Here is a 12,696-nt window from a genome sequence, read left to right on the forward strand (position 1 = left end):
ACAGTGTTGCAATTCCTCAAAGACCTAAAAACAGAAATACCATTTGACCCAGGAATCCCATGACTATTAACAGGTATACACCCAAAGGAATATAAATTATCCTATTCTAAAGACACATGCACACATATATTCACGTATATTCATACACACATATTCACTATTCACAATGGCAAAGACATGGAATCAACCTAAATGGTATACTGAATAAAGAAAATGTGTTACATATGCACCATGAAATACTATGCAGCCATAAAAAGAATGGGATCATCTTTTTTGCCACAACATGGGTGGAGCTGGAGGTTATTATCCTTAGCAATCTAATTCAGGAACAGAAAATAAATATTACATGTTCTCACTTATAAGTGGGAGCTAAATGATGAGATGTCAGGGACACATAGAGAGGAGCAACACATACTGGTGTCTACTGGAGGGTGAAAGGTAGGTGGAGGGAGAGTGTCAGGAAAAATAACTAATGGGTTCTAGGCTTAATACCTAGGTGGTGAAATAATCTGTACAACAAACCCCCATGATACAAGTTTACCTATATAACAAATGTGCACATGTACTCCTGAACTTAAAAGTTAAAAAAACCCACCAAAACATGAAACACTTAGGTATAAATCTAATAAAGTATGTACATGTGTAAGCAAAAAACTATGAAACACTGATTAAAGAAATTAGAGACCAAATAAATGGAGACATGTTGTGTTTATTAGAAGTCTTGATATTAAGCCGTTAACTGTTCCCAGATTGATAGCAATATGAGATCCACTATTAGACTATAAGCTTTTTGAGAGTGGGAATGTTGTCTGGCTTGATGGCCTCATATATTTTAGGAATTCAGTAAACTTTTTGAATTGATTTAAAAATAAAAGAACATGATTTTCGCTAAAAGCACATTTATAGTATTAGGTCACTAATGTAATAAAACAATCACATGATTACATAACCCTGTTTTTTATAAAAATTTCATTTTTTTAATATGAGATCATAAATGTGAGAGAAGCTATGACATGTAGGCTTAATAAGTTTTTCTTACATTTTATGATTAAGAGGTAATTAATCAATGGAAAGCAGCATAATGAATAAGGTATGGAACACAAATTGTAAATGAATATAGAATTCAATAAATATTTGTGAGATTTTAGATTCTTTTTCAGCAATGTATAACATAATCAGCATTTAAGAGTAATAGCAATTTTCAAGTCAAGCTGATATAAAGTTTATTCATGTCTGTTTCAAAATATGATATTTTCTATTACGCTTATATTTTTAAAGGGGAGGCAGATGATGAATAAATGAACAAAAAATATAATAATGGATATGTATTTATAAGTGCTATGAAGAGAAGAAATCCAAGCAAGAAGAGAGTGAAATGAGGTAGGTGGATTTAGGATAAGGTAGGGTATTCTGAGAAAACTTCTCTGAGGACATGATGTTTCTGAGGACATGATGTTTGTAAATAGATTTGATTCACTAGAGAGCATTCACAAAGAAAGTAAGAGAAATTAGGTGGCAGAAGGAGCCAGGGAACCAAACCTGTAAGTTTTTGCAGACCATGGTATGACAGGAAGCCAATTCAGGTTTTTGGCATAAGTATGGTGTTGTTAGCTCTTCAAAATACATCCAAAAAATTCCGATCACTTCCAGTTTGATATTCTGATCTAGACCATTGTGGAATCTTGGTTGAACTCTTTCAAAAGTCACTGGTCTCTCTAATTGTACTTGTGTTCCTCTACAGTCAATTCAATACACAAAAAAACAGTGATACTTTTAAAACATCGATAAGGCTGGGCACGGTGGTTCACGTCTATAATCCCAGCACTTCAGGAGGCCGAGGCAGGTGGATCAGAAGGTCAGCAGTTTGAGACCAGCCTGGGCATTATGGTGAAACCACGCCCCTACTAAAAATATACAGATTAGCCAGGTGTGATGGCGCATGCCTGCAGTCCCAGCTACTTGGGAGGCTGAGGCAGGAGAATCGCTTGATCCCGGGAGGCAGAGGTTGCAGTGAGCCAAGATCGCACCATTACACTCCAGCCTGCCTGACAGAGCGAGACCCGGTCTCAAAAAACAAAAAACAAAACAAAACAAAAACACACAGATAAGATCCTGTTACTCCTTTGCTCAAAATCATTCAGTGATTTCCCTTGTCTCTAAGTAAAACTTTTCAATGGTGCACAAGGTTCCACTTCACTAATCCCTCTCTGCTCCTCACTTTATCTCTCAGCACATATCTTTCTGGTTTTCTGTCCCAGAATTCACAAACACATTCTTGTCTTTGGGACTCTGTGTGTGCTTTTCTCTCAGTTTGTGTTGACTTTTTCCTAGAAAGGCATACTTCTGCTCAAACATCCTTCATTACTTTGCCCCGGTTATGTGAATCCTTCCCTGATTATGCTCTATAAAACAACCTCACGCCCTTCTGCAGCACTCTTTAATTCATTTGCCATCATTTTTTTCTTCATAACATAATACGATTTGACAAGTTATTTTATACTTATACATACTATATTAGCTCAGGCTGCTATAACAACATGCCATAGACTAAATGCCTTAAACAACAGCTAATTTCTCTCAGTCCTGGAGGCTGTGCAGTCCAGGATTAAGAAGCTGGCTGATTCAGTTCCTGGTGCAGGCTGTCTTTCTGGTTTTTGGACAGACATCTCACTGCATCCTCACGTGGTAGAAAAAGAACTCTGGTCTTTCTCCTTTTACCTATAAAGGCACTAATCCCGTCATGAGGGCCACACCCTTCAACCCTTATGAACTTATGTAAACCTAATTATCTCCCAATAGTTCCATCTCTGAATATCATCACATTGGGAGGGTTAGGGTTTCAACATTTGAATTTTGGGAAAACACAATTTAGCCCATAGCAATCATCTACTCAGAAATTTTAAACCCTATGTGTGAATCCCTATATTAAGCATTTTGAGGGTTTTATTATCAAAAGAAGAGATTAAGAGTATTGTCCAGCTTCTAGTACAATGCAGTACACTACAAAGAGTATGATCAAAATTTAGCACTATTATACGAATATCTTTTTAAGGAGAAAAAAGATATTAAGTGTAGTTCTAAGTTAGAAATTAAAATCTAACATGAAGGCGTCTTTTTTCTCATGGCAATTATTATTTGTCTTATTTTTGTTAAGAAACTTACCTCAGGATTAATTTTGAAAAAAATATGCAGTTGAATTTTCTCAGAAAGAGATTTCTAGTATATGAGCTATGTGACAAGAGATAGTGACATATAAAAGAATGCCATTCTAGTTCATATTTTATTCTGGGAGATTAATCAGTACAAAGACTTCAATGAGGAGATTGGAAGAAAATCAGTAGTGTTGTTTTACCTCTAGTCAACAAACACAAATTGAACAAATCCAAAGTTACCCTTTTTTTCTCACATGTTTGTCTGGCCAATTACCAAACGCAAAGGCCATATTCAGTATCCTCATATATATTTTCAATTTTAAGAAAAAAAATTTTAATGGCCCTGACAGGGACAGTAATTAATTTATTTCATGTGTGAAATCTGTTAAATTCTGTGGTATATATTAAAATGTGTCTTTTCATAAACCCATTTCCTACATATTGACTTACCTTCTCTAGTGATCAGCACTGATCTTTTATTCATTGTGTGGTGTCTCATTTCTCAATCAAACCAAGTTTTATTCAAATAATAGTTTTCTTTCTTTAAATGTTGCAGGAAGATAATTGCATTTTATTTTGGAATAGGCTGGATGTTTTGGTATGTTATCTCTTCAAAATGGTGGTGAGCTTATCCTGTAAAGTACTGTAAAGACCTAATGCTACTGTTGTCTTTTGATATCTTATGTCTAATGTTAATAGGTAAAAACATTATAAAGCAAAAAATCATGTATGGTATGGTGATCACTTTTTATATAATCATTATAATATTTAATGATTAGCTTTAATTCTGAGGAAGAATTTGTATTAAAATGGCTTAGTCTAATCATTCAACCATATTGTATCTGAATACTTTCATTCTACTCTATCAAATATTATTCCATATAGAGATTTAACTATAAGCTGTGTTAATAGAGATATATTTTTAATATTCAGGAAAACCTCATACATATTCAGTTTTAATAGCTTATATTTTAAAAAATAACTTGATGTTATATCTAATAAAGACTGACTCATTCAGACAGTCATTTCTTGAATTCATTGTCCACTCAATCAACACATTAAGAGGTAATCGCTTTACAAACTATAGAACTATAATGAAATATAAATTAGTGATACCTAGGTATTTCAAACTCAAACACTTTTTCTGATTACTAGAAATGTTATCAATGGTGCATAGAACACTGCTGTGATCTACCCAGTTCTTTTGGCCCAAGGTACTCTAAGGTAGGACCAAGAAGGCTTACAGGGCAAGTGAAGCATAAGGCTCAAGACACAGTCACAGAAGCAGAAAGAGGCACTAGTTTCACAGAAGAGTTTAGTGATAAGTCACCATTAGAAACATTTATCTACAATAAGAAGAAAGAGGCTGCAACACACACTCGTATATAGGTCACTCTCATATTTGGCTCTTAAGTTCTGGGGTGACCTAATTTATTACCAATTTAACTTTTATTTCTTCATCATATTTCTAATTTTTCAATTATTTAGATAATACATTCTCATAATGGAAAATTGCAAAGATACAGGAAAACATAAAGACACAGGTAATACGCGTCCAAATCCCCATCATCAAGAAATAACAATGATTTACTTTTTCTTTCTTCTAAAGTCACAGTGGTTTTTTTTTGCCATTCCTGGAAGGTGCCAAGTGTGTTCTCCCCTTGAAGTCTTTGAACTGAAACACGTTCTACTTTTAAATAGCATGGTCAGGGGTAGGCTTTGGTGGAGGACAACTTGTTCTGAAAAGTTCTCATTTCTGGATGAGAAAGTGATATATGTAGCTGTTTAGCAGAAGAAAGAGAGGGAAAAAGGAAGAGCATTTCAGACAGAGAAAAGAACAAATGCAAAGAATAGTGCTTGGCATGTCTGAGGAAAAGTAAGAAGGTCATATGGCACAGTGGGGTGAGAAAAGGGTGCAGTAAACCAATATAAGGTTGAAGAGATGAGTTGAAGAACAAATTAAGTAGGGCCTTGAAGGCAACATAAGGAGGTTTGCTGTTACTTTTAGTAAAATGATGAGCCATGAGGGTTATAAGCAAAGGAGTCACAGATATTGCATACTTATTTTTTAATAGACTTTATTTTTTGGAAGAGTTTTGGTTAACAATGAAATTGACAGGAAGGTAGAGGCATTTTCTATATACTTTCTATTCCACACATGTATAGCCTCCCTCATTATCAACACTCCGTAGCACAGTGGTGCTAGTCTACATTGGCACATCATTATCACCCAGACTCTACATTTTACGTCAAGTTTACTCTTCGTAGTGTGCATTCTATGAATTTGAACAAATGTATAATGCCATGTATCTACATTATAGTATCATACAAAGTACTTTCACTGACCTCAAATTTCTCTGTGTTTCACCTATTTATTTTTCCCTCCCTCCCTCCTTCCCTCCCTCCCTCTCTTCCGCCTAACTCCTGGTAACCACAGATTTTTTTACTGTCTCTAATTTTTGCCTCATCTAGAATGTCATATACTTGGAATCATATACTATATAGCCTCTTCAGATTGGCTTCTTTCACTCACTAATACAATTTAAATTTCCTTCATGTAATTTTTTTTTTTTTTTTTTTTTTTTTTTGAAATGGAGTCTTGTCTATCGCCCAGGCTGGAGTGCAGTGGCGCGATCTGGTCTCACTGCAAGCTCTGCCTCCCAGGTTCACACCATTCTCCTGCCTCAGCCTCCTGAGTAGCTGGGACTACAGGCGCCCGCCACCACGCCGGGCTAATTTTTTTGTACTTTTAGTAGAGATGGGGTTTCACCGTGTTCTCCAGGATGATCTTGATCTCCTGACCTCGTGATCAACCGCCTCGGCCTCCCGAAGTGCTGGGATTACAGGCTGAGCCACCGCGCCCATCCTCCTTCATATAATATTTTTAAAAGATCATTTATAATCACTTCCAAAGAAGCCCTCATAATTGTTTCAATACTTATTATTTTTGGTTCTCAGTAAATTCCTTTTGTGTTTCCTCTAAATCACCATTTCTGTTACCACCAGTGCTCATTTTGTTATGGAAATACTGAATTATATTTGTTAACCTAAAAAGACATATTGTATGCAAATATGTGTTTGCATATGGACATTAATAAATATGGAAATAGTATGAAGTATGAATTGTTCTTTCTCCAGCCCACAAACTGAAGCCCCAAACTATCCCTGTTCTCTAATCTATTGTGCAACTGAGCAGCTATGTCTAAGTTTACTAAAAGTACCATTGCTGGGTAAAGATATATTCTTTATTTGCTGAAAATTTGGTAAATAGCCCGGGCTCAGTGGCTCACGCCTGTAATCCCAGCACTTTGGGAGGCCGAGGAGGGCTGATCACCTGAGGTCAAGTTCGAGACCAGCCCGGCCAACGTGACGAAACCCCATCTCTACTAAAAGTACAAAAATAAGCTGCGCTTGGTGGTGGGCGCCTGTAATCCCAGCTACTCAGGAGCCTGAGGCAGGAGAATCGCTTGAGCCTGGGAGGCCGAGGTTGCAGTGAGCCGGGATGGAGCCACTGCACTCCAGCCTGGGCGACAAGAGCCAAGAGCTGACTCTGTCTCCGAAAAAAAAAAAAAAAAATTGGTAAATAACTTGAGGGTATTCTGCAAAAAGGCTATACCAGTTTATACTTTCATGTTTAGTCTGTAAGAGTGTGTAATTCTGCAAATGTTTTCCAATGCTGAGAATTATTAATCTTTTAAGTCTTTGCCAGCCTGAAAGATTGTTAAAAAGTTGAATTAAGTTCATAAAACATTTCGAGGAAAGATACAATCTCTGTAATAGTTTTTCACTAAGAATATGATATATCCTCTCATTAAAAACAATATAAATAAATGAATGTAAATAATTTACAAACACAACAATAAATATATGAACATATAAAATCTAAAAATAAATACATAGTTCAATAAGGGTAAGCAATACATATGCACATGTGTATGTATGTGTATTTGTCAGTGAATGTATGCATATATGTGCATGTATATATGAGTACATTTGAATATGTGAATAGGTACATTCGTATATAAATGTATATATATTTGTCATTAACATTTCATGGTTTTCTTTCTCCAGGACCTACACATAGTTATTAAATAATTTGAATTTTCATTTTTTCTATTCACTATGAAAGAAATTTTTTTATTATATTTCTCTATGGTATTGCTTTCATTGAGGAACCCTTAATTTTTGAATATTTATTTTATTACCAGTCATTTTACTGAATTCTCTTGATTATCCTAATAATCGTTCAGTTGACTTACTTTGCTTTGCCAGGATAAGAATAGTATCACCTGCGAGTGATGATATTGCTGTTTTCCTTTCCTGTAGCTTTTGTTTTTTCTTTTCATGTATTGGTTAGATATCAAATGACAAATATGAGAATACAAAGATTATGAATTTTAATAGGAATTATACTTATTTTTTATCACTGTAGGTAATATTGACTGATATAAGCAAATAATAACCAGCTATTGTGCCAAGTGCTAGAAAACTCATGGTTAAAAACATGCCTGTTCACCAGAATGTAAGCTCGACTATTCATAACTTTAAAGAATGGTAGCATTTTTAAATAAATTAGAAATAAATTTCAAATATATCCAATTACCTTCTTAACATATTTTGAGAGGAGTTCATGTTTTTCTCCTTTTTGAACTATTGACGTGAAGAATTACATGAATACATTTCTGAATATTGGATTATCCTTTTTCATCTGTAGAAAATAGCACATTTGATGACTTCATCATTTTTAATACTCTAAATGGATATTTTTTAATATTATATTTATAACTTTTGAGTGAGTAGGTTGTAGAACTTCATAGTTTGAGTGTAGAGTTAGAAAAATCTGAATTTGTATCCCATTTCTTTCCTAGTTTAGCCTTGTATTCATAAGCTACTTCTCCAAACCTGCTAAGTCTTAGTATCTTTATGGATAATGAGATGATTATAAAATATCCTACCCTTTTAGATGGCTGAAGGTGTTAAATGCATGTAAAGTAATTAGTATAGATGCTAGCATGCTTAATAAATGTATATTCATAAATGTGACTTGTCAGTAGTTTTCCATTTTTTATCTTCTGCTGATAAAGTTTTTTTTAAATTAAGGCCATGAAAACATCTTAAAATTAATTAATTAATTAACTAACTCCTTTTAACTACCCTATGGAGTAAATGATATGTAAATTAATATTCCTTAAAATTTTGTAATGAATCACTCCCATGAAATATCTAAAATTGGTATAATTTCTGGATATGATTATTTACAAATTCAAATAATACTCAGCTTCATCAAAAGTAATTTGGGTAACATTGTCTCAAATTAATTTTAATAATTTATATTTTCTCCACTCCATTAGTTCCTTAGAGATTTCCACATTAGCACATGGTTGTAAGTTAGTAATTAGTTTAAATTCACATTATATGCATAGTTATAATCTTTTTTACATGTCTGTCACATGCTTGTTAACATTTTTTTTCTAATGACTTTTATTCATGTACCATATCTACATTTTAGGCATTAAGTTTATAATTATTTTTACTTTTTTAAATTTAGTAGCTTAATTTTTCCATGGTTTTTTTCTTCTTTCCATTTTTTGCCTAACTTTATGGATTAGATGCTTAATTTATTAATTTCTATTTGCATTCTTTAAAAACAAAAGCAATTTTGTCCATGATTCTGCAATGACGCACACCTTTGAAGGAACTGACATAACTGTTTTTAGACAACATGCTCTTTATAGTTATTTTCATTGATGATGTTTGATATCTTTTTGTTCAAAGTGTCAAATGAGATTGGTCATTGTGATTACTAAGTTGTTGCATTCTTCTTAAAGTGGTTGCATTTCTGCTTAAAGTTTTTTACGTTTTTTATACTTTTTTCATATTAATAGGAGACACTACTTATGTAATTCTTCATAAGATTACATGTAAAAAGGAAAAACAAAATACATGCTTGTTGTAAAATGTGTAAAATGAAAGTGTAAACAAAAAGTGAAAGTGCTTCTATCTCCAAATAACCATGGCCAATCATTTTTTGTCTGTTGTATTCTCTGAAATTGAATGCTGACACAGACTTTAGCATGCAGGATATTTCTTGGGGATCAACACTTGTGGAAGGTATGGTTGGAAGCAGGACTGAGTAGGTGGAGAAGTTGAACTGTGATGCAGGCTTGACATACCATCTTAGACAACCCATGTGGAACTCTGGAGGATATATGATATATGATATTTATAATTGTCCTATGTTGAGCCAAAATGACTGTCCTTATACCATCTCATACATCTGTTATAAGATTAGAGTATCCAATCCTGGGAAATGCTAGCCTTCATAAAAGGCTGCCCTCTGCAGCTAGAGGCTGTCTGCTGTCAGTTGCTAAAACAAGTCCTCCCTCCAAGGGGACATGGGAGTTGCAGCTTAGTGTGCTCTATGTCTTTTATCTTAAATCAATTTAGAATATTTTATTTAAAAATTTCATATACATTATAATTTTCATCTTAGTTTTTACCTTAACAATATTTTATTTTATATGTATTTCTAAGAGTTTTCTAATCCTTAACATACTTATTCAAAGTTATTTTTTGATGTCAAGATTTTTCTAATCTTAACTTATCTTTCAATTGGCTGTATTAAATCATTTACATGTTATTTTGAAAAGACATGAGGTATATTTTCTGGGCTACTGCTCAATTAAATATTTTTATAATATTCATACAAGAATAACAACCACTCTCAAACTTTTCTGTCTTCTGGCATTTAATGTTGCATATACATATTCACTTCTGCTTAAACATGTTAAGTGGTTACTTATCGTTAAATTTAAAAAAGCCTCAAGACTTGTGTAAATATGATCATCAATTATTACTTGGACTGTGATGATTAGAGAAACCAGGGAAGAATTATGATCAGATTTGCGTTTTTATAATAATCATCCTGTCTTTGATCTGAAGATTATATTATGAGGAGAATTAACAGATGCAAGGAAAAACAATAAAAAGTGACAGTTTTTTAAAGGAACATGATGGATAAAGGCAACATAAAAGAGAAATAATAGGAAGAAGATAATGAAATCAATTTAATCTTACTGAATTTGGAGAGCTATGAACCATCAAAATTATGATACAGAAGAGGCTATTGGGACTAGAACTCAAGAAATTGTACTATAAATGATAATATTGATATTCATGATTCAAGTTATATGTAATCTCCTAGAGATTGAATAGTATAAGAAGAAATGGGAATTAGAATACAGGTTTAAAACATTCCAACATATAAGAAGAATGTAGAGGAGAAGGAGGTGCCAGCAAAAGACAATGAGGAGTTGTCAAAGATTTTGGAAGATTGGGAGAATGTTCTGACATAGAATGCAATGAAAGAGTAGTTACTAAAGAATGTTTTCAAGAGGGTCAAATGCTTCTCAGAAAATAAGAAATCTCAAATATATCCTTGGAATTATTAATATGAAGATTAATGACAACATTGGCAATAGGAATAAACAACAAACTACAAAGAATGAGGAATGTAAACAAATGGATTTTGTGAATAGAGAATTTATTCCAGAAGTGTTAACGTATCAAGAAGATAGATCAAATCTTACACTAAACAAATATGGGAAAGAGTGAAGGATTTTTTCACTTTATTTGTTTTTGCAGGAGAAACAAAACCTGTTTAAAAACTAATCAGAAGGAACCAATAGAGTAAGACAAGTACACAGGAAATAGAAAGAATAGCAGATGGCAATAACTTCCTATGAAAATGTAAAAAACAAAGTCTAGAATAGAGTCATAAAGACTGATTTTACATGAGATATTGAGTTCCTTCTGGTTGTAGCAGGAAATAAAAAATACTTTGGATCACTTAAAGATACGTGTATAAAAGTGATGATAAGATGATGGTCAGTCCAATGACTTCAGTTGTCTCTGTTAAAAAGTCTTTTATTTTTTATTATACTTTAAGTTCTAGGGTACAGGTGCACAACGTGCAGGTTTGTTACACATGTATACATGCGCCATGTTGGTGTGCTGCACCCATTAATTCATCATTTACATTAGGTATATCTCCTAATGCTATCCCTTCCCCCTCCCCCACCCCATGACAGGGCCCGGTGTGTGACGTTCCCCTTCCTGTGTCCAAGTGTTCTCATTGTTCAATTCCCACCTATGAGTGAGAACATGCGGTGTTTGGTTTTTTGTCCTTGTGATAGTTTGCTGAGAATGATGGTTTCCAACTTCATCCATATCCCTACAAAGGATATGAACTCATCATTTTTTTTGGCTGCATAGTATTCCATGGTGTATATGTGCCACATTTTCTTAATCCAGTCTATCATTGATGGACATTTGGGTTGGTTCCAAGTCTTTGCTTTTGTGAATAGTGTCACAATAAACATACGTGTGCATGTGCCTTTATAGCACCATGTTTTATAGTCCTTTGGGTATATACCCAGTAATGGGATGGCTGGGTCAAATGGTATTGCCAGTTCTAGATCCTTGAGGAGTCGCCACACTGTCTTACACAATGGTTGAACTAGTTTACAGTCCCACCAACAGTGTAAAAGTGTTCCTAATTCACCACATTCTCTCCAGCACCTATTGTTTCCTGACTTTTTAATGATCACCATTCTAACTGATGTGAGATGGTATCTCATTGTGGTTTTGATTTGCATTTCTCTGATGGCCAGTGATGATGAACATTTTTTCATTGTCTGTTGGCTGCATAAATGTCTTCTTTTGAGAATTGTCTGTTCATATCCTTCACCCACTTTTTGGTGGGGTTGTTTTTTTCTTGTAAGTTTGTTTGAGTTCTTTGTAGATTCTGGATATTAGCCCATTATCAGATGGGTAGATTGCAAAAATTTTCTCCCATTCTGTAGGTTGCCTGTTCACTCTGATGGTAGTTTCTTTTGCTGTACAGAAGCTCTTTAGTTTAATGAGATCCCATTTGTCAACTTTGGCTTTTGTTGCCATTGCTTTTGGTGTTTTAGACATGAAGTCCTTGCCCATGCCTATGTCCTGAATGGTATTGTCTAGATTTTCTTCTAGGGTTTTTATGGTTTTTGATCTAACATTTAAGTCTTTAATCCATCTTGAATTAATTTTTGTATAAGATGTAAGGAAGGGATCCAGTTTCAGCTTTCTACAAATGACTAGCAAGTTTTCCCAGCACCATTTATTAAACAGGGAATCTTTTCCCCATTTCTTGTTTTTGTCAGGTTTGTCAGATGGTTGTAGATGTGTGGTATTATTACTGAGAGCTCTGTTCTGTTCCATTGGTCTATATCTCTGTTTTGGTAACAGTACCATGCTGTTTTTGTTACTGTAGCCTTGTAGTATAGTTTGAAGTCAGGTAGTGTGATGCCTCCAGCTCTGTTCTTTTGGCTTAGGATTGTCTTGGCAATGTGGGCTCTTTTTTGGTTCCATATGAACTTTCAAGTAGTTTTTTCCAATTCTGTGAAGAAAGTGATTGGTAGCTTGATGGGGATGGCATTGAATCTATAAATTACCTTGGGCAGTATGGCCATTTTCACGATATTGATTTTTCCTATCCGTGAGC

At 34.1% G+C, this 12,696-nt stretch overlaps 1 long non-coding RNA gene across 3 annotated transcripts in view; it reads left to right on the top strand.

The window, feature by feature from the left end:
- The window catches only part of LOC107985953 (uncharacterized), a 139,261-nt gene that overhangs the window by 33,688 nt on the left and 92,877 nt on the right, over positions 1-12,696 (top strand). Inside the window, exon 4 of one of the 3 annotated variants that reach the window (XR_001739748.2) lies at positions 1,279-1,833. The exons of the other annotated variants lie outside the window; for them this stretch is intronic. This is a non-coding gene — a long non-coding RNA (uncharacterized LOC107985953). Of the gene's footprint in view, positions 1-1,278; positions 1,834-12,696 lie in introns of those variants that run through there. 3 annotated transcript variants of the gene reach the window in all.

The sequence above is a fragment of the Homo sapiens genome, chromosome 2, assembly GCF_000001405.40.
Source record: "Homo sapiens chromosome 2, GRCh38.p14 Primary Assembly".
Classification (NCBI taxonomy): Eukaryota; Metazoa; Chordata; class Mammalia; order Primates; family Hominidae; genus Homo; species Homo sapiens.